Source organism: Homo sapiens, chromosome 15 (genome assembly GCF_000001405.40).
Source record: "Homo sapiens chromosome 15, GRCh38.p14 Primary Assembly".
Taxonomy (NCBI): Eukaryota; Metazoa; Chordata; class Mammalia; order Primates; family Hominidae; genus Homo; species Homo sapiens.
The window spans coordinates 65,683,200-65,705,782 of NC_000015.10; the positions used below are offsets into that span (position 1 = coordinate 65,683,200).

General features: G+C 35.1%; 1 protein-coding gene and 1 non-coding gene across 29 annotated transcripts in view; both read right to left on the reverse strand.

The window, feature by feature from the left end:
- Positions 1-22,583, reverse strand: part of DENND4A (DENN domain containing 4A) — a 133,171-nt gene that overhangs the window by 24,077 nt on the left and 86,511 nt on the right. For 11 of the 28 annotated variants that reach the window (NM_001376920.1, XM_047432100.1, NM_005848.4 and 8 more), the window contains 7 exons: positions 19,674-19,809; positions 19,106-19,312; positions 18,563-18,691; positions 17,852-17,993; positions 14,068-14,184; positions 13,167-13,298; positions 7,216-8,312 (listed from right to left, as the gene is read on the reverse strand). In NM_001376920.1, coding sequence (NP_001363849.1) covers positions 7,216-8,312; positions 13,167-13,298; positions 14,068-14,184; positions 17,852-17,993; positions 18,563-18,691; positions 19,106-19,312; positions 19,674-19,809 — 1,960 coding nt within the window. Of the gene's footprint in view, positions 1-7,215; positions 8,313-13,166; positions 13,299-14,067; positions 14,185-17,344; positions 17,477-17,851; positions 17,994-18,562; positions 18,692-19,105; positions 19,313-19,673; positions 19,810-22,583 lie in introns of all 28 variants that reach the window. The other 17 variants (XM_005254120.6, XM_047432087.1, NM_001320835.1 and 14 more) reach the window with 2 other exon arrangements.
- On the reverse strand, positions 13,634-13,737 carry SNORD13E (small nucleolar RNA, C/D box 13E). Its single transcript, NR_145750.1, has one exon. It is a non-coding gene; the product is annotated as a small nucleolar RNA, C/D box 13E (small nucleolar RNA).

Consider the following 22,583-nt stretch of genomic DNA (forward strand, 5'->3'; position numbering starts at 1 on the left):
TGCCTACGCTAGGCTTTAAAAATATTATTTATTTTAATCTTTAGGTGGGATCTTTCTGATATTAGTGATTGTGTTCTCTTTTTCTAGATCAGTCTAGCCAGCAGTGTGTCAATTTTGTTCTTTTTAAAGAATCAGCTTTTGGTTTTATTGATATTCTTATGCTTTCCATCTTTTCAGTTTTACTGATTTTTGCTCCATGTTTATTACTTCCTTCTTCCTACTTTGAGCTTACTTTGTTCTTTTTTTCTAGTTTCTTAAGGCAGAACCATAAATCATTAATTTTAAATCACTTCTAACTACAGCACTTAAAGCTATGAGTTAACCTCTAAGCACCTCTTAGTTGTATCCCACAAATTTTGATATATTTTTGTTCATTCCACTCAAACATTATTCTAATTTCCTTTATGATTTTATCTTTGATTCAAATTATTTGAAAGTGTGTTCAGGTTTTTCTTGATCTCTTACTTATTCTTAGTGATTTGTAATTGAATTCTATTGTGGTCAGAAAATATGCTTGATTTAAAAGAAACCTTATTGGGGCTTAATTTTCATGTCATAACATTCACTCATATTAAGTCTACAATTCAATAATCTTTGTAGTAAATTTACCAACTTTTAGAACGTTTCTAATTTTAGAAAATCTTTACCACCCCAGTAAGATACCTCATGCCCATTTACAGTTAATCTCCATTGCCTTCCTAACACCAGGCAACCACTAATATACTGTGTCTACAGATTTGCCTTTTCTGGACATTTCATATCAATGGATTCATACAATATTTGGTCTTTTAAAATCTGGCTTAATCCACTTAAAATAAACATGTATTTGAGGTTCACCAATTTTTAAGGCATGTATCAGTATTTCGTTCTTTTGTATTGCTCAATTATATTCCACTGTATAACACATTTTACCTATTTTCCAGTTGACGGAAATTTGGGTTGTTTCCACTTTTTGGCTTTTATGAACAATGTTATGATTATTCACATAAAATCTTTGTGTAGTCTATGTTTTCATTTCTCTTGGGTAGATTATTTAGAGTGGAACTGCTGGGTCATATGTTAAATTAATGCTTAGCTTTTAAAGAAGCTGCCAAATTGTTTTCCAAAGTGGCTGTACCATTTTACATTCCCAACCAAAAAAGTATGAGGGTTCCCATTTCTCCACATCCCCTCCACTTGTCATCATCTTTTGGATTATAGCCATTCCTCTAGTGAGTGTGAAATGGGATTTCACTGTGGCTCCAAATGCAATTAATGCCTAATAACTAATTATGTTGAACATGTTTCATGTGCTTTTCGTCCATTAATATCTCTTCTTTGGTGAAATATCTATTTAGATCTATTTTTAACTTGGGTTGTTTATCTTATCATTGAGCTGTGTGAGTTGTTTGTATATTATGGATTCAAGTCCTTTACTAAATACAGAATTTGCGTATCTTTTCCCCAGTCTGTGGCTTTTCATTTTCTTACATTTTCATTTTTGGATCACAAAAGTCTTCAATTTTGATAATGCCTAACTTATCAATTTTTCCTTTTATAGACTGTTTCTGGTATCATACCTAAGAATTCTTGGCTTAATTCAAGGTCTTAAAAGATTTTCTTCCTATATTTTCTTCCAATTTTTTTTTTTTTTTTTTTTTTTGAGACGGAGTTTTGCTCTTGTTGCTGAAGCTGGCGTGCAATGGCGCGATCTTGGCTCACCGCAATCTCCGCCTCCGGGCTTCAAGCGATTCTCCTACCTCAGCCTCCCAAGTAGCTGGGATTACAGGCATGCACCACCATGCCTGGCTAATCTTTCGTATTTTTAGTAGAAACGGGGGTTTCACCATGTTAGCCAGGCTAGTCTTAAACTCCTGACCTCAGGGGATCTGCCCGCCTCAGCCTCCCAAAGTTCTCAGATTACAGGCATGAGCCACCACGCCCCGCCCACAATTTTTTTTTTTTTGAGACCGTGTCTCACTCTGTCGCCTAGGCCAGAGTGCAGTGGCGCAATCTCAGCTCACCGCAAGCTCCGCCTCCCGGGGTCACGCCATTTCCCTGCCTCAGCCTCCCGAGTAGCTGGGACTACAGGCGCCTGGCACCGTGCCCGGCTAATTTTTTGTATTTTTAGTAGACACGGGGTTTCACTGTGTTAGCCAGGATGGTCTAGATCTCCTGACCTCGTGATTCGCCTGCCTTGGCCTCCCAAAGTGTTGGGATTACAGGCGTGAGCCACCGCCAGCCCACAATTTTTATAGTGTTAGCTCTTACATTTAGACATCTTATCCTTTTTGTGTTAATGCTTGTATATAAGTTGAGTGTCTACATTCACCTACAGTCATCCCTCAGTATCCACAGGGGGTTGGTATTTGCACATAACCTATGCACATCCTCCTGTACAAGTTAAATCATCTCTAGGTTACTTATAATACCTAATACAATGTAAATGCTATGTAAATAGTTCTTATACTGTATTATTTGTATTTATGTAATATTTTCAATCTGTGGTTGGTTGAATCCATGGAAGCAGAACTTGCAGATACAGAAGTCTGACTGTATTTGCATGCAGATATCCAATTATCTCAGCACCATTTTTTGACAAAAACTATCATTTCCCCATTGAATTGCCTTGGCATCTTTATTGAAATTTAAATAACCATAAACATAAGAGTTTATTTCTGGAGTCTAAATTTTATTCTCTCATCTATTCATCTCTGTTTATGCTAGCAGCACAGTCTTGATAGCTGTAGCTTTGTAGTAAATTTTGAAATTGGGAAGTGTGAGTCCTCCAACTTTTTCTTTTTCCAAATTGTTTTGGCTATGCTGGGTCCTTCTATTTTCTATATTAATTTTAGGATCAGCTTGTCAAATTCTACAAAATCCTGCTAGAATTTTGATAGGTGCAATTTTGATATACATTTAGATGCCAATGTAGGGAGGGTTGCAGCTTAACAATACCGAGTCTTCAATTCCATGAACATGGCATGTCTCTCCATTTATTTAAATCTCTTTTAAAATCCCTCAGTAATGTTCTGTAACTCTTTACAATGTACTTTGATTTGGATCCTTTTCAATTGACTGAGGTTTTTTAAATAGCCAAACATAGTTTATCTTGATGACTGTACTGTATACACTTGAAAATAGTGTATTCTGTAGTTGTTGAGTGTATATTCTATAAATGTCAATTATATAAAAGTAGCTGATTGTGTTGCTGAGATTTGTCTTGACCAATTTTTGTTACCTCTTCTATCAACTGAGCGTTTTTAAATTTCCTACTCAGATTTAGAACTCCCCTTAATTCTACCAATTGTGTCATTGTTTTGAGGCTCTGTGATTTAGTGAATATACATGGATAATTATTGTGTCTTCCTGATGAACTGTTTCTTATAATCAATATTTTTCAGAGACAAAGTCTTGCTATGCTGCCCTGGTTGGCCTAGAACTCCTGGACTCAAGCAATCCAGACCTCCCACCTCAACCTCCTGAGTAGCTGGAACTACAGGAACACACCATAACATCCAACTCCTCATTATTATGAGATCAGTCTGTTGCTCAGGTTGGAGTGCAGTGGCACAATCATAGCTCACTACAGCCTTGAACTTCTGGGTTCAAGCAACACACCTGCCTTAGCCTCCTGAGTAGCTAGGACTACATAGGTATGTGCCACCATGGCCAGCTAGTTAAAATTAAAAAAAAAAAAAAATTGTACAGACAGGGTCTTGCTATGTTGCCCACGCTGGTTTCAAACTCCTGGCTTCAAGCAATCCTCCTGGCTTGGCCTTCCAGAGAGCTGGGATTACAAGCATGAGCCACCATGCCTAGCCAAAGTCTGCCTTTTAATTGAGGTGTTTAGATTGTTATCATTTAATTATTCATATGGTTAGATCTAGTCTATTTCTCTGTTCCCCCTTTCTTGGCCTCTTTAAGATTTCCTGTTCTCTGTAAGACTATTTGAATATTTTTATTGGCTTTTTGGCTACATCTCACTGTATTTTTTAACTCAGTGCTCCAGGGATTACAATATACATATCTAATCATTTAAAGTCTACTTGGAGTTAGTTTTATATCATTTCATATTTAATAATATAACTATAATGAAGGTCTGTGGGGTAAGTTCCTTTACTACTGATGTTCACTACTGTCAAACATCTATGCATATTTAAAATTCCATGAGATAATGTTACTATTTTTGTTTTGGACAATTATAGGTTTTTCTTTTCTTTTTTTTTCAGTTTAGGAGGCAAAAAAGTAATCTTTTCTAATAACCAGCTATTTACCATTTATTTTGCATTTATTTTATTCCTGAAGATGCAGGTTTCTCTTTGGTATCATTTTTCTTCAGTTTAAATAACTTCCTTCAGCATATCTCATAGAGCAATCCCATTGCTCATGAATTATTTTATCTGAAAATGTCTTTATTTCACCTTCACCCATGAAGAATATTTTCACTGGATATAAAATTCTGAGTTGACAGGTCTTTTCTTCCAATGCGTTAAAGGCACCATTCCACTAAATTCTTCCAAGGATTGTGATGAAAAGTGCATGGGTACATTCAAATCTTTATGGCTCCGTAGGTAATGAATAATTTTTTAACAGCTTTCAGTGTATTTTAATTTTTTTTTAGCAGCCGTTTTCTTGTTAGCAGGTGAATATCTCTGATTTTTAGTTTACTTTTGATGTGTGCAAGTGTGGTTTTGAGTTTAATTCTGTCTGTAATTTGCTGAGTCTCTTGTATCTATAAATCTGTATCTTTTACCAATTTTGGAGGTTTCAGCCATTATTTTTTCAAATCTTCAAATATCTTTTCTAACAGAATCTCTCTTCAGTTCTTCTGGAACTCCAGTTATCCATATTTCATTTGTTCCTTTTGATATTGTCACACAAGTCCCTGAGGCTGTTTATTTTTATAAAAATCTTTTCTCTCTTCTTCTAATTTCTATTACTGTATCTTTAAGTTTACTTTTCATTGTCATCTCCATTCTGTTATTTAACCCATTTGATCAGTTTACATTGGATTATATTTCAGTTATAAAATTTGTTTTAATACATTCTATTTCTTGCTAGAATTTATTTTAATTTATTTCAAATGTGTTTTCCTTTACCTAAAGGAACCAGTTATGGAAGCTGCTTTAAAGTTTTTCCCTGATACTTCCAACATCTGAGTCATTCTGGAGTTGTCTTTTCCTTGAGAACTGGTCACATTTTCCTGGTCCTTTATACCAAGTAATTTTGGATTTTATCTTGGACACTGAATATTATGTTATGTAGCCTGGGTACTGTTATAATACTTCCGAGATTGTTGATGCTCTTGTTTCAGCAGGCAAACACTTGAGTTATATTCAGACTGTAATTTGTGTTTTACTTTTTGTAGGCAGTGAACTTGCAGTTCAGTTACTTAAGCCTTTTCTATTCCAGTTTGCATCTGTCCCATAACTGTGCAGGTCAAGGGGTAGGGTGAAACTTGTATGGGATTCCCCTCAAACTTTCTGCACAAAGAGGCCTCTTTCTCAGGCTTCTCTGTTCAGGAAATATGGGGTTTCTCTTGAAGTTTATCTGCCAGAGGTGCCATGCCATGATGTGACTGCCCTTGGGGCAAAGATGCATGAGGAAAGGAAATGATAAACTCATTTCTGTGTTGGTCTCTCCCCAGAAACTGCCTGCTTTTATTTATTTTTCAGAGTCCTTAGTTGTTTTTTATATTTTGTCTGGTTTTTAAGTTGTAATCAGTGGGAAGGATGGGCTGTGGTGGCCTTACGTTACCACAGTGGAACCAGTATTCTCACCCCAATTCCTAAAGAATATTTTTGTTGAGTACAGAAAAATAGGTTGACAGTTATTTTCTTTCAGCACTTTAAAGATATCTTTCCAGTGTCTTCTGACATCATAGTTTCTCTTCAGAAGACCACTGCTCCTTTGCAGGTAATGCATCTCTTCTCTCTGGCTCAAGATTTTTGCTTTTTATTTCATTTTCAGTTCTAAAATTTAGGTTTGATTATTTTTAATACATTCCAATTATCTAGTGAAATCTTCCATCTTTACAGTTATTTTTTAAACCTTTTCCTTTATATTCTTGAACATATTATAATTATTTCAAAGTCCCTTGTTAATTCAAACATCTGGATCACTTGAGGGTCTCTTTCCGTTATCTGCTTTCTTCATTTTTTAGCTATGTTCCTGTCTCTTGGCATAGCTATTTTTAATTGAGTGATAGACATTGTATATTAAAAACTGTAAGGATTCTAACTGATGTTTTATTTCTCCAGAAAAGGTACAATCTTTTCTCTGTTGATAGAGTAAAAGCTGATTATTTTAACCAAATCACAGATAACCTGAGTCAAGTCTAGGTTGCAATTTTGGTCAGGCTTAGTCTACCTCTGGTTTGCCAATGGTCCTAAGGCATACCTCTGTAAGTATTCCAACTGAGGCCCTCCTCCCTCTGGCAGCTCCTGAATCGAGCTATTATGATTCCAGTACCATGAAACTTCTGAGAACTTGATTTCTCACAGACGTTCTACTTACCCTTCTCATGCAGTATCAAGTATTTGGAAAATGTCTTGAAGGAAGAAAATCTTCAGTGTATTTGAGGCCCTTAAAGTCTTCAATTTTGTCTCTCTAACCCACAAGTTCCCAAAACTTCTGATAAGGGAAAGCCTAGATTTACAACCTAGTGCTTCATGCCCATAATGAGCAAATCCCCTCAGGGAGAAAGTGGCTCTAGAACTTCAGCTCACCTCTCTAGAATCCTGCCTCTCTGCTTTCTAGTTACTTCAGCAGTTCTCTGATGACTTTAAACAGATACTTTCTCTATTTCATCTAGCTTTTAGCTCTTAGGGGAAGGTATGTAAGTCTATCGTAAGTTACTCCATCCTAACCAGAAGGGCAAATCATATGCCTGACTGGTAATTTTTGAGGGCATATTGGACACATTATCTGGAAAAAAAATCTGCATCTTGAAGGAAATACTGAAATTCAGTAAGTACTTTCACGTGACACTAATTCTTACTCCAGCTACAAATCACTCTTTCAAAACTGAACTACAAATATAACCTTAGTAAGTTTTCTTTTCTTTGAAGTTATTATTTCAGTTCCAATTCTGATACTTACAAAACTTACATACCCAATGAGTCCTTTTTATAAAGCTATGTTTAGAAGAATAGTTAAAACGAGTAAGGGGCTTTTGGTGGTGATGGATATGTGTGTGTGACAGTAAAAGTAGCAAATACTAACCAAACTTACCTTAGATGATGTGGTGTACATGGTGAATCTTGAATACCATTTGCTTGCTTTCTCTGCAACTCCTTTTCCAGCAGTGAACATACTGTTTCTTAGAACATCTAGTTTAGGTACTAGTAGTGTATCTAAGTTAAATGAAGGTGATGAGTGGGTTAATGTATCCTGAGATTCTTCCCTAAATGGGCAAGTAGGTGAGAAGGCTGGAGAAGACCAAAGTCTATCCCTTGGTTTCTCCTCACTTTTTGTGTAACTTTTAGATTTGGTAAGTCTCACTGGCTTAGGAGAATTAGGAGGCAGACTAGATCTTCTGCATGCCTTGACCAATGGTGGACTTTTCTTATTTAATTTATCATCACATGCCCGTTGTAAATCAATGCTTGGTGTACGACTTGTCAAAGGACTGCTCATGTTATTCATATACATCACAATTTCTTCAGCTAAATCACGCCTAGCAGATGGTGTTGAAATGCTTTTGCTATCATCTTCATCCTCCTCCTCTTCTTCTTTTTGCTGCTGTTCAGTCTCAGCAACCAAAAGAGAGAGGGGATCAAATCCTGTTGCGACATCAGTTTTTTCAAAAGGTTTTACTGAAAAGCTGCTGTTCATACGTTGAATCCTCTTGGGATTTTGTGTAGCAACACATCCTGCTTTTGATACATCTGTTTCACTGTCTAAGTCTTCTAAGTCAAAAATAACAGGAGAATCCACTTTATCTGCCAAATAGTTAGAACCATCAAAAGGTGTATCATCATCACTAGATTCCTTTTCTAGACTGTCTCTTTTTGATCTTAAAGGTGGCTTCCCAATATCAAGAGTATTTGGTCTCGTGCTTTTTGAGATAACATTTGAAAGAATTTTTGCATCAGCTCCCAATTTTTCAACTATATCTCCAGGGGTTGCTTCCTGGTTAATTCTATTGAGCATAAATCCCATCAGTACCCCTCCACTAAGATTACGGTTTCTATTTCCCCAGACCACTTGCTGCTGCAAATTAGTTTCATTGTCACTTTTATGTCTTTTCCTGAAGCATCTACTTTGAATGTTTCGTGTTTCATTTGTATCTTCAAGAGATGATATTAAGAGCAGCTCAGGTGTGCTTTCTGAAAAACAAGTAAAGTGCTTTTAGCCATGAAAATATAATAGCAAATATAAGTCATCTTAAATATTTAAAATTCTAGTGATGAAAATGATAATAGCAAGCACTCACTGAGTGTCTGCTATTTGACAGATACTATACTAAACACTTTACTTATATTTCCTACTGTAAACATTCCAACATCCTTATGGGTTGAGAAAAAAGGAACACTCAGAGAGATTAATTATCTAGCTCAGAGTTACCCAGTCCTTAAGAGACAGAACTGGGATTCAAATTCAGATTTGTCCAATTATAAAGGGTATGCTCCTAGACATCAGGATGTACTGCTTTTTAAAAATGTTATCAATTAAGATTTATATTTAATAATGAATTTATATTAATTCCACTAAATAAATTACAATGGTTTTACAATTGTGGTTATACTAGATGACCTTGAGATTCTGAGTCTTCCTTTTTTTTTTTTTTTTTTTAATTTGCTAGACACAGGATCTCACTATGTTGCCCAAGTTGGTCTTGAACTCTTGGGCTCAAGAAATTCTTCTGCTTTGGCTTCCCAAAGTGCTAGGATTATAGGCTTGAGCCACCATGCCCAGCCAAAATTGTGAATCTTCTGCTTATTAAAATGAAAAAAGAAAAAACATCCAAAACATGAAACAAAATAGAAGTATGTTAACTTTATCCATAAATAAAGGTTATTTTTTAAAACTCCAAGTCCTTATAACTATAAATGGGGCCAAATAATTTTACCCTTGCTTAACATATTGATTGCACATTTATACCAGTCAAATGTTAATGGCCACTTCACATTATTTGGAAATACTGTTCACTGTTTTCTACCAAATTACTTAGATGACAATACTAAAAGCAGAAATCTAGATCTCTGATCACTTTAATTGTTCTTACTATATGTGGGAGTCCTCTAAAGCATTAGTCTAGGTATAGTATCATCAACTATTCTTCTTACATGCTTTATGCACAGAATTAGCTCTCTATAGCCAGACAAGTATTGAAAATGTGCCTTTTCTTGTCATGTGATGCATGCAAATGGCAGGGCAAGAGATAAGAGTGGATACTAGAGGTCATAAAAGCCTACATCTAATATTACTTAATAAGGATATACCGTTAACAAGAAAAATGACATATCAGAGAGGCAAAGTTTATTCTTTTTTTCACCAGCTTACGATTGAGGACATAGGAAATCAAGAACACACTTTCTTCTGATATTCTGGGAAATTTTCTGCTTGACAGGTTAAATATTACTAAAGACCTGGAGGAATCTTGTAACCAAAAGATAATACTCTGGAATTGCATTTAAATAGATGTGCAAGGGTTCCTTTGCAAAGTCAGTGATATGCTATGACCTGAAGACCAAGTTGGTTATCAGACTTTACCAGAGGTTTGCAAACTATACCAATGAGCCAAATCTAGCCTGAGGCCTGTTTTTGTAGAGTCTCAAATGGTTTCTACATTTGCAAAGGGTTGTAAAAATCATGCACCCAGAAGAACAGGTAACAGAGATTCTATGTGCCCTGCAAGGCCTGAAATACTTACTATTCGGCCTTTTACAAAAAAGTTTGCCTGATCCTAAGTTTACACACATGCTAAATTACACATGCTAGGCTGGATGCTGCATGCCTCTAACACAAAGACTGCAAACTATTTAACTTCCTTGGGCTAGGTGGCTCTATGACATAATTCCGGCCAGTGATATTAAGGTATAGTTTTTGAGGGTTTTTGGAAAAATTATTTCCTGAAAAAAGAAATAGATATGGCTGGTGTTTCTCTTCCCATTCTTTTTGGCTTGATCGAATAGGTGATATGGGGAGTTACCAGTGGCTATACTGTAATCATGGTTAGGTCAAAAGAACTGATGGCAAAGCCCCTGAGCCAACATTTAGAGCAAGTGCTTACCTCTGAATTTCCTGTTTGAGAAAAATAAACTGCAACTTCTTTAAGCACTGTTAATCACATATTCGAGACTTAAAGCTGAAAGTATGCCCAGCTGATATACTAGCCTTTTCTCAGATCTTTGAACACGCTGTGGGATTCCTTTCTACCAAACAGCCTTTTTATACATGCTTCCTTCTGCTTGGAATGCACCCTCTCAATTCCTCCTTTCTGACTCCTACCCTCATTTATTTTCCACTCATATTTGAAATTTAAGCTCAAAAATGATATGCTGAAGGAAGTCTTCCCTAACAACCCCAAACCCAAGACATATCTATTATATGTTCTTATAGCAACTTACTGTCCTTTTTCATAGTATTTAATCTAAGAATACTTTCACATTTACTTGATTAATGTCTTCCCATCCCTTCTACCTGCTTTCTCCATGAAGGCAGGATCCGTGTTTATTTTTTGTTTCTTATTATAATATACCCCCAGTAGCACCTGACATATAGTAGAATCTAAAAGATATTTACTGAATGAATACTGTCTATTAGGCAGTAACTGCAGCCAACAAACCAACCTGGAATATAATACATTACATTATAATATTAAAATATTATATTATGGGTAGCTAAGGATAAAAAGTAAAGGCACACTAAAACCAGAATTAGGCTTAGAGAAACATCTCAGAATTAAACTTCTCTGTGGTTGAACACTCAGTAATTCAATATGTATTTATCAAAACATTAAATTCTCAAGATAATAATGAGGGCTGGAGCAGAGGCTCACGCCTGTAATCCCAACACTTTGGAAGGCCAAGGCAGGTAGATTGCCTGAGGTTGGGAATTTGAGACCAGCTTGGCCAACATGGTGAAACTCCGTCTCTACTAAAAATACAAAAATTAGCCAGGCGTGGTGGCGTGTGCCTGTAATCCCATCTACTAGGGAGGCTGAGACATGAGAATTGCTTGAACCCAGGAAGCAGAGGTTGCAGTGAGCCAAGATCGTGCCACTGCACTCCAGCCTGGGCACCAGAGTGAGACTCTGTCTCCAAAAAAAAAAAAAATTCAAGATAGGGTGATGATTTTATTTCAATATCCAATCAAACATTAAAACATATCTTTGTTTATTCTACTCCCATATATGTATACATTTACACACAAACACACACAAACACACAAGGGTGTTCAATGATATAAATAAAATATTCATATATTGTACTGCAAAATATAAATAAACCCGAAAAATGCTTTAAATCCTAGTATGTACAAGTATATAATAAGTATTTCTATATATCCCATGTATGGTCTTTGGCAGCAGTAATAAACCCATAGTACTTAACAGATGAGAGTTTTCAAGCCAAAAGCATCAAGGATAAACCAATAACTTTACTTCACACCAAAGAAATCTACTCTACACTTTTATAAAATTCACTTGTTCAGCATATAGGGTAACTGAAAGCCAGATGATTAACCAGATGCTTATTATTCTGACAAAATGTCAAGATCAAAGGATGGTGTACAATCATATTTAAATAAAAAAATTAAACACAGATCTTAAGAGGAGGGCAAGCATGAACAGACAGCAATGAAAGAACAATAAAATAAAGATCAAAGGCAAGTTATCAAGAGTTATAATTAGAAAATTAGTTACAAAGGACTAAATGGTTGTGAAACAACTCTATGACATTGAGGAAAAATTTTTTAATGTTTCTGTTACAACAATTATCTAACAAAGAAATGCAAAATAAGAGTTATAGGTGATCTAACTTTCTTTTGTCTGTTTGATAGAGTAGGTTCCGCAAACTTTTTCTATCAAGGGCTAAAGAGTAAATATTGTAGTCTTTGCAGGCCATGTGGTCTCTGTCACAGCTACTCAACTCTGCTGTTGCAATGCAAAAACAGCCAGAGATAATACGTAAATGAATGAGCATGTCTGTGTTCCCAGAACTTTATGAAAACTGATGTTTGAATTTCATAAAATTTTCATGTGTCCCACAATATTAGTCTCTTTTGATTATTTTCTGACAATTTAAAACTATAAAAACCATCATAGCTTGGTTAGCTTGCAGGCTAGTATAATAATAGGCTTCAGGGCAAATTTGGTCCTTGGGCCTTAGTTTGCCTTTCCCTGAACTACAGGCATATCTAACTGTGTTGCAAAAAAACCAGACACCATTGCAGCAAAAAACAGAGATATTTCAGCCTTGACAGCACATGTTCTTCAATATTTTTTATATTACAACATCATGCAAAAGTAAGCTAATACAAAAAAATTTATTAGGTAATCACACTATTAACACTAAAAACTCCAAATCTTATGTCTATTTAATCCCCTAAAAATGGTCTGGTAAAACACTTTGAGGCCAAATATTATTCTACTTCTAATCTGACTTTTCTATTAACTATTGATAATTTATGTGACCTGCCAATCACTGAAGTATGCTTTAGTTTTCTCATCTTTAAAACAGTGCTAATATCTCCTTTGATACAAGCATTTCTATGTTAATATTATATAAAATAATATATAAGAAGACCGTGAAAAGAAAAATTATTGGGTATTGTTACTTAAACTATCTGAAGGACTATCCTTTTGCCTCTGGAAAAACAGGAATAATATGAAAACTAATAAGCCATATACTTCATTTGAAACTTAACTAGGTGTATGGTACCCTCAGACTCATCACCTCTCCTGATGTCACTTTCCCCTTCCAAAAAGTCCCAACAGTCTAAACTCAAAAGATAGTATACAAGCTGGAGGTTTACCCCTATGCCTTGCTATAATACAAGCTTGAACACAGCATGTTATAAAATATAGAACTCAAGTTACTAAGCTATGCCATGAGAGGCTGCACAAAATATTTTTTAAAATCACCTTGGAGAATTAAGACTATTAAAAAAATAAGTATTCACTAGTCATACAGATACAATTTATTCCGCACATAACACAAGCGTACTATTCAACTTACCCATGCTTTCTCCTGATATTTTACCAGCACTGTTGTTACTTGTACCAGTGAGGCGAACGATACTGGAAGAATTTTGATAACTGAGCTTAGGAAGGCAATCAGCACTTCCTTTTGTACTCTCACTCTCTGACACTGTAAAGATGAAAATGAAAATGTTAATAAAATGAAATCTATATACACTGTAGGAGGTATCAAGAGAAGTTTTCAGTTCTACATATTTTTACTTGAAAATAGGTGACAAGAAAATATTGAACACCTCTATATCTGTTTGTCAACCACAAATAAGTGATTTCACTTATTTGAGGCCTCAAAGTGTAGATCAAACTACTGAATACTGATCATGCATGAGGTCCATGCACAAATTTTATATTTCCTCACTGATTGTAAAGGAGTGCTTTTGGTGGAGTGGGGAAGGGGGTAAATATAATCACAATCCATTAAACAAACTTTTTTTTTTTCTTTTTTCAGGTCAGATGGGTAATGTGCTGATGTCGTAACAAGGTTCAAGGGTGGCACATCTCACAAACATGGATGAATACCCAATCATCATGCTCATAAACTACAAAAGGATCACAAGCTTTAAAATATTGTTAAGTCTCAAAAAAGAAATAGTTTCAAGAAATGTATATACAGTTCTACTAAATACATGTATTTTTGGAATTACGTAGCATTCATTCTAATGGTATTTGATTTGGGAAGTGTTTTGCCACTGAGGCTATATACTTCATACATAAAGCATTTGTATGAGAGTATGTGGTGGCTGAGAGGGCACGTAATGGTAGAAAAGAAAGAGTTATAATGGAAAAATGGAAAGTAAAACCAGCACTTTTATAAAATCACCTGCATTTTCTATGAATATAAGTTCTCAATTTTATACAATATCAACTTAAACAATACCTACAGGAACTACAATCACTCCCTTTTTTATCTTTTTCTTCTTGAATGTCTTCAGTAGATGTATCCCCTCTTCTAACTTCATCTTTAGATAATGAATTATATCCAAGATCAGACTGGCCACCTGGTAAAAACAAAAATAAACAAAACTCTATTAGAAACTTCTTTAGTGAGTGCAACTGGAATTAGGAGCAACATACTAGTGTTTGGATTTCCTTATAAATTTTTTTCTGGACAACTTCCAACTTAAAGCATTATTTTGTTAGCTACCCTTAAAGCATTAGTTTGTTAACTATCCCTTCCATCATCTCTATTAATATAAGAAAGAGATGATCTTGAAATAATTTACTCTTGGTTCCACACTGTAGTCAAAAGTAACTACATACATTCACACTACTATATGAGCTCCAAGACACAGACAAACCAGACATTCTTTATACAAGTCCATGACCTTTCTAGTTGAAAGTTTGAGTTTCAACTAAGCAATGGAGAAATCTGTAAAGAATTTATAACAGAACATTCATACATAGGTCACTAGAGCTAAATGTCTAAATGATTTTACAAAAAAATTGGATTTCTTCAAATTTATTGATGGGTAATTAATTTTTAAAAAAATTTAGCTGAATAATCATTGAACTGTATGTGAGTACAAATACATGGGAATGAGATAAAAATCTAGTGTTGAAGATATTGTTAAGAAAAGCAAAAGGGGCTGGGAGCAGTGATTCATGCCTATAATCCCAGCATTTTGGAAGGCTGAGGCAGGCAGATCACTTGAGCCCAGGAGTTTGAGACCAGCCTGGGCAACACAGTGAGACCTCATCTCTACTAAAAATAAAAAATAAAAAAAATTAGCCAGGAATGGTGGCATGCACCTATAGACACTTCTTGGGAGGCTTCTTGGGAGGCTGAGGTGGGAAGATCACTTGAGCTCAGGAGTTCAAGGCTGCAGTGAACTATGATTGCACCCCTGCACTCCAGTCTGGGCGACAGAGTGAAACCCTGTCTCAAAGAATGGAAAAAGGTCTATCAATATAAAAAAATTTTCTAATACACTGTGTTGCTAAAGAGGCTCTGCATCATTTTTAGAAAATCGTTTTCACCAGATTAGTCACAAAAGATAAAGTTTTGAATCCTAGTTCTCTATCTTAGGAGACATATGATTTTAAGTAACAATGTAATCTTTTTGTTTGGATTTGAAGTTCCCAAATTTGTAAAACGTAAGGTTGTTATTACTATATGAGACTATATATGAAAAATGTTTATAAACTTGTAAAGCACTCTCTAAAGAAATTATATTATGTATCACTAGATATTCACTTTAATATCGTTGTTATAATTTTCAGTTTTTATTTTTTCTAATCAAACTTCAGGTCCATTTTTAAAGGAATTATAAATAGAAAAATCTGAGAATAATCTTGATGAAATTCATGCTTTTATTAGGTTTTACACTATTTTAAGATAGCCTTTTTTTTTTTTTTTTTTTTTTTTTTTTGAGACAGAGTCTCAACTATGTTGCCCAGGCTGGAGTGCAGTGGCGTGATCTTGGCTCACTGCAACCTCCACCTCCTGGGTTCAAGCAATTCTCGTGCCTACGCCTCCCAAGTAGCTGGGATTACAGGAATGTGCCACCATGCCTAGCTAATTTTTGCATTTTTAGTAGAGATGGTGTTTCGCCATGTTGGCCAGGCTGGTCTTGAACTCCTGGCCTCAAGTGACCTGCCTGCCTTGGCCTCCCAAAATGCTAGAATTACAGGTGTGAGCCACTGCACCAGGCCTAAGATAGCCTTTTTAAAAGCCACAGTTAAAAGATAAGATTTCTTCATTTGTAAGAGATAATGCCAAAGGATAACTATTGTAACTGATGAAAATCACACTGCATAATCAAGGAATAAAATCAATCAAGGAAGAATAACTATGAATATTACATTTCAACAAAATGAGCTTACATTTATTAAACTTTAGGTATAAAGTAAGACAGACCAAAATAATATTGACATTTGCAGAGATAGGGGCCTTCATATTTTATTAGTAATGCTTCAATTTTTAAAGTTTCTGTCCTTTAAGAGTTTGCTCTTATCTGTAGTCAAAAGTCATGTGTAATTTTTGAAATGTAATAATAAAAAGAACAGAATTATGTAAATAATTTATTTTTAAGTGTGTCAATTGTAATAATAGTTAAGAAAAGCTGATATACGAACTTATACTTCTATGAAATTAATGCCATCTTCGGCACTATAATTCTAGCACTGAAGTATACAATTCTATATACACATATATAAACATACACATAAGATATATAATTCTATATACACATATATAAATACATATACATATGTGTATATGTATTATACACACATGTTATACATATACTACTACACATACATATATAATATTATACATATATTATTTTATATATATATATAAATTTTTTTTTTGAGACAGGGTCTCGCTCTGTCACCCAAGCTGGAGTGCAGTGGCTTGATCATGGCTCACTGCAGCCTCAACCTCCTGGGTTCAAGCAATTCTCCTACCTCAGCCTCCCTAGTATCTGGGAGCACAGGCATGGGACACCAAGCCCAGCTAATTTTTGTATTTTTGTAGAGACAGGGTTTTGTTATGTTGCCCAGACAGTCTCAAACTCCTGGGCTCAAGTGAACCACCCACCTTAGCTTCCCAAGGTGCTGGGATTACAGGCATGAGCTATCACACCCAGCCTTAAAATGCTATATTTTTATATATTTAAAATTTTTTATTATGACTTTTAAAATCACTTAAGATTTAGAAGTTGCAAAAACATTACAGTACAGAGAGTTCCTTGGTACAATTCACCTAGCTTCCCCCCATGATAATACCTTACATAACCATAGTACATTGTCAAAACCAGGAAACTGATGTTGGTACAATACTATTAACTTAGACACAGAGCTATGCTTCTTTTTTTAAAAAACTCTAATATCATTTTCATAATTTCAAAGAATTTATTATAAGAAAATGATAGGGTAAACAGATCTATGTCTACGCAGAGTTAACTGGATTATCATATACTAAATACTTGAATAAAGTGATTTATAACCTCTCTTAAAACTTTTATTTCTATTCAAATAAAGAATGAATAAAATTTCATATAGTTATTAAATCTAATATCAAATAAAATACATAATATATAAAATTAAAAAGTGACAGTTAAACATCACTGAAAATGAAAATGTAAAAAAACATAGGCTAGCAAATCTAGTTTTAAAAATGTACTATAATAAATGTATACATAAGCATACACAAACCTGTACTAGATCTATCATCAGTAGCATATACTTTGATTAAACCCGTATTAAAAGGTGCCTGCTCCACAGTGTGTGTCCCATGACCACTATCCATGCTGCCATGACTAACAGCATCCAGGTCACTGCCATCTGCTTAAGAACACAATTTGACAGCATTTTACTACTCGAAGAGGTAAATACACATTAATTTGTTGCTCAAGCTAATAATCCACCAATGTAATACTGAACATGAAAAGTGCCACATACTTAGCAAAATACAACTATAACAAAGAAACCTATTGTGAGTTATTAATGAACACTAAAACACACACAAAGGTCGTCAGAAGTTGAAACATTTAAACAGAAGTGAAATCTGGTGGTTTTTAAATGGGAAGAGTAATATAATTTGCTTAATAAAACTAAAAACTAAAACATTCAATATTTTAAAACTATTTAAAATTTCTAAAAATGTAAACTGTAGCTAATCAATTAATTTTGAAGAACAAGTAAAACACATACATCCCTTACCTGAGAGAGTTGTTTGTGATAAGTGTGCATGCTTCTTTAAAGCTCTTTTGAACTGTGTTACTCCTAAAACAACATTTCTTACTTTTGTCCAAAGAAAATAGCCACTACGACTTCTTGAAGGCCAGGTACTTTCCAAAACAGCCTATTCATTCAACAAAATAAAATAATTAGTAAAATAATTTTTATAAGTGAACATATATTGGTTTCAGAATTAAGCTAAAGAATATCAAAGTAGGCCAGGAGTGGTGGCTCATGCCTGTAATCCCAGCAATTTGGGAGGCTGAGGCAGGTGGATCACTTGAGCCCAGGAATTCAAGACCAGCCTGGGCAACAAGGTGAAACCCCACCTCTCCAAAAAATATGAAAATTAGCCAGGCATGGTGGCACATGCCTGTAGTCCCAGCTACTCAGGAGGCTCAGGTGGGAAGATCAATTGAGCCTGGGAGGTCAAGGCTACAGTGAACCATGATTGTGCCACTGCACTCTAGCCTGGCGCTAGAGTCTCACAGAGTGAGACCCTGTTTCAAAGAAAGAAAAAATCAAAGTAGATTGTATAACATAAAAGAGAACTAAAGTCTTCCTTGATTGACAAAATGTATTTTATATACTCTAAAATAAATGCCAAATAACCCCCTGCATAAATTATTTCTGCCATTAATGTTGCATAATGACAAAAGTAATACTCTTTATCCATTAAACCAAGGTATTTACCTTATTATAATAACCATAAGTAATGGCATTGGGGTCAATACCAGCTTTCTGCATTTCAAAAAGCACTCGAACTGCAAGCACTGGCTGATCATATTGTCCACAGAGTTGCATAAGAATGCGGTAGCATACCTGAAATACAAGTTCAAAATTGTACCGAAACACAGATGTCACCATGTACATAAATCTAGAATAAAATAATGCATTTTAAACAATAATTGTGGCAGGGCACAGTGGCTCATGCCTGTAATTCCAACATTTTGGGAGGGCAAGGCAGGTGAAGCTCTGGAGCCCAGGAGCTTCTGACTAACCTAGACCACATAGTGAGACTCTGTCTCTACAAAAAAATTAAAAAATTAGCCAGGCGTGGTGGCACATGACTGTAGTCACAGCTATCTGGGAGGCTAAAATGGGAGGATTGCATCTCTTGAGCTCAAGAGGTTAAGACTGCAGTGAGCCATGACTGCATCACTGCACTCCAGCCTGGGTGACAGAGTGAGACCCCATCTCAAAAAAATAAAATAACAACAATAAAATAATTGTTACCTCATCAGGTGGATCCATCTTCTTTGACTGCATTTTTTTAAGCACATCATATGCTGTTTTCAGAGCCCTGACTTTTGAATGACAGACTTTCACATAAGCTGGGAGACAAATAAACCACAGTCCATAACAGTGGCGCAGTAGACACCTAGACCACATCTGAGGGATGGAAGAGTACCTCTTTGCAATTTTATGGGCTGATTTAATTTCCTGGAAAAAATATAAAGATCTTACTAATAAATTTATGCACTTAGGCATCTTTATTTAACTGAGTGCTAAACAAGTACAAGTCACATGCTTTTATAATGTTTCCATAACAAAATATGTCTGTAATTAATGCGTTTTCAAGTTTCTTTTTGAATCTGTATTAAACAGCATATAAAATAAAGTTCTAGGACAAGAGAACTAGTTAATTTCTTGAAGTCAGATTGCTCCATCTTCACAGTGCTTTGGTGAACATAATAATCTAGTAATAGTTATATATGAAGTGATAAAGCATATTACGGGAGGATAAATATCCAATTTATTTCTTGTTCTAAAATTTGATTACATGAAGAATGTGATAAAGTACCTGTTTTGTTCTTCTGAACATGGGCAAAGGGCTATTAGGACTACTTGATTTTGAAGGCAATTTGTTCTTCTTTGCTTGTAGAAATCCTTCAGGTCTTTCAAATAAATTGTTCCTAAGAACTGGAAATCCATTATAGCTGTTTTAGAAAAAACAAAACAAAACAAAAAAGAGTTCTCAAGCACACATAGATGATCATAGTGGTTACAGGTTAATATAATTACGACCAATAACTTCTTCACATAGAATTTAACTATCTTTCTTTGTCAGGCTGTGATATACACTCAACAAATATTCATGCTAATGTTGCTCTTCTTACTATAATTAGAAATGTAATAGCCAAATTCAGACTCAAGTTAGTTTTTGAGGAAAAGGGAAAAACATAAATGAACATGACATCCAACTCCAAGGTAACTTTAGCAAACTTTTAAAAGTTAGTACTCTTGTTAATACATAGCAAACATATTAGATAATATGACAGTTGGTAAAAGGCCTACCAAATTAAGACTCTTTCAAAAAGGGCAATCATTAATGTCATTGCTTTGGATTAACATATTTACTGTTGAACCTCCCTTCTTAGAAAGATGCAAATAACAACCTTAGGTTTAGCATATTAGCACACCAGGCCTTGCTCTCACATTCTCATGAATTGGTTTGTCAGGTTAGCTAGTGGGTTCAGGGCATCATTTATGAGAAAGAAAATTGAGAAGGCTAAATAAGAGGAAGAAAAGGTTAGAATAGGTGCTCTATTAGGAGGTAAACCTAATAAGGGTGCGAGACCAAGATGCTCTGGACATTTCAAAGCTAGCAGCTAGGCTGGGTGCAGTTAGTGCATGCCTATAATCCCAGTTACTCAGGAAACTAAGGCAGGAGGACTGCCTGAGCCCAGGAATTCAAGGCTGTAGTGCACTACGGTTCTGCCAGTGAACAGCCACTGCACTCTAGCCTGGACAACATAGTGAAACTTCATTAATAAATAAGTAAATAAGTGAAAGGCAGCAGTTAGGAAAAAGATATGCTGAAAGAAACCAAAGCAGCCCCCTGAGCAATACACTTAACCTGTTTAAGAATACTATGTAATATTTTCTTAAAAGCACATAGTTTTAATTAAGAAGAAACCTAACTATAATAAAAGAGGGTAGACAATATTTTTTACACATTACTATAGTCAAATTCCATAGAATAAGAAAATATTAGTAATGATTCAATGTTGAGTAGGAAACAGCAAAGAAATCCAGGAAAACCATGCCCCTTAAAAAATTCATTGTATGTATATGATGAGATAATAAGACCATTTTGTGTGTCTTATTTCAAATGCCTCATTATTTTACAAAGACAATGTAAGTTTATGAGTAATCTCTTATGAGGCAGACTCTGTGCTCATTAAGGACATTTACGGTGTTTTCCCAATTATGGTAATGATTATACCAAAATTATATTGGTAGTCTGAAGAAAAAAACCGACAGATTCTTAAAAAACAGAAACGTCTTCAGATAAGTAATTTTCTTATTATTTTATTTTTTGATTTATGTCTGTTCCATCGCCCAAGCTGGAGTGCAGTAGCTCAATGATGGCTCACTGCAGTCTCAACCTCCCAGGCTCAAGTGATCCTTCCACCTCAGCCTCCTGAGTAGCTGGGACCACAGGTGTGCAGCACCACGCCCAGCTATTTTTAAAAAATTATTTATAGAGATAAGGTCTTGCTATGTTGCACAGGCTGAAATAATGTGGTTTTTTTGGAGATAGAGTCTCGTTCTGTCACGCAGGCTGGAGTGCAGTGGCACGATCTCGGCTCACTGCAACCTCCACCTCCCCGGTTCAAGAAATTGTCCTGCCTCGGCCTCCCAAGCAGCTGGGATTACAGGCACCTGCAACCATGCCTAGCTAATTTTTGTATTTTTAGCAGAGACAGGGTTTTCACCATGTTGGCCAGGTTGGTCTCGAACTCCTGACCTCAAGTGATCCGCCCACCTCAGCCTCCCAAAGTGCTGGGATTACAGGCATAAGCCACCGCGTCTGGCCAAATTTTCTTAGAGTTAAAGGACTAAATCTAAAAATAAAATTTAAATTAAAAAGTTAAAACCAAACCACAGAAACACAAAACTCGAAGTGACACATACCAAAAGACAAATAAGCATAAAGTACAAAAGAGATTAAAAAATGAGAACTTGTTTAGAAAGACAAAGAGAGGAAGAGAGAAATTAAGAGAAATATTTTAAATATCTTTGACAGAAGACATTTAAAAAGTGATACAAACATCATCATCACTGGATGAAAAGAGTAGAAATCAAGTGGTCTCTGATTAATCAACATTCATAAACATCTATCACACCACTTTTTCATCTGTAAAAGGAAGAATTTAATCCAAGTCATAAACAAAGATGTCATTGAAAAATCCTTTTTCAATGAAAATAACAAACCATGATTCAATGGGTGATAGATGTGAAATGGTTTTTAGAATCTTTAAACAAAGTAAGAAAATATTATTGGAGAATTAAGAAATCTTTTAAACTCTAAAAGAAACTACAATTTTAAGTAAAAATAAATGCATATTGGGAACTAAATAATGCATTCACCTCTATCATAGCCCTTATTTTACTGTGCTCAGGACTTTTCTCTCTTCTTCACTAGACTTGAAGGCAGGGACAATATATCGTTTAAGTCTGTATACTTAGCACAGTGTCTAACCAAATTCCCTAAATTAACAATGATCAATTCTAATAATTCTGAATTTCCATGACTTAAAACTCATGAAAAAAATTAGTAACTTAAAAAATTATATCGTACAAATCAAGGCCACGAAGATTGGCTCTAAATTAGATTTAATCTTTTTGTAAACCAAGGCTATATTAATCAATCTGTGTATGAGATGAAAAGAGGAATTGAAAGTGAGGAAACCAGCTTTAACGAAAA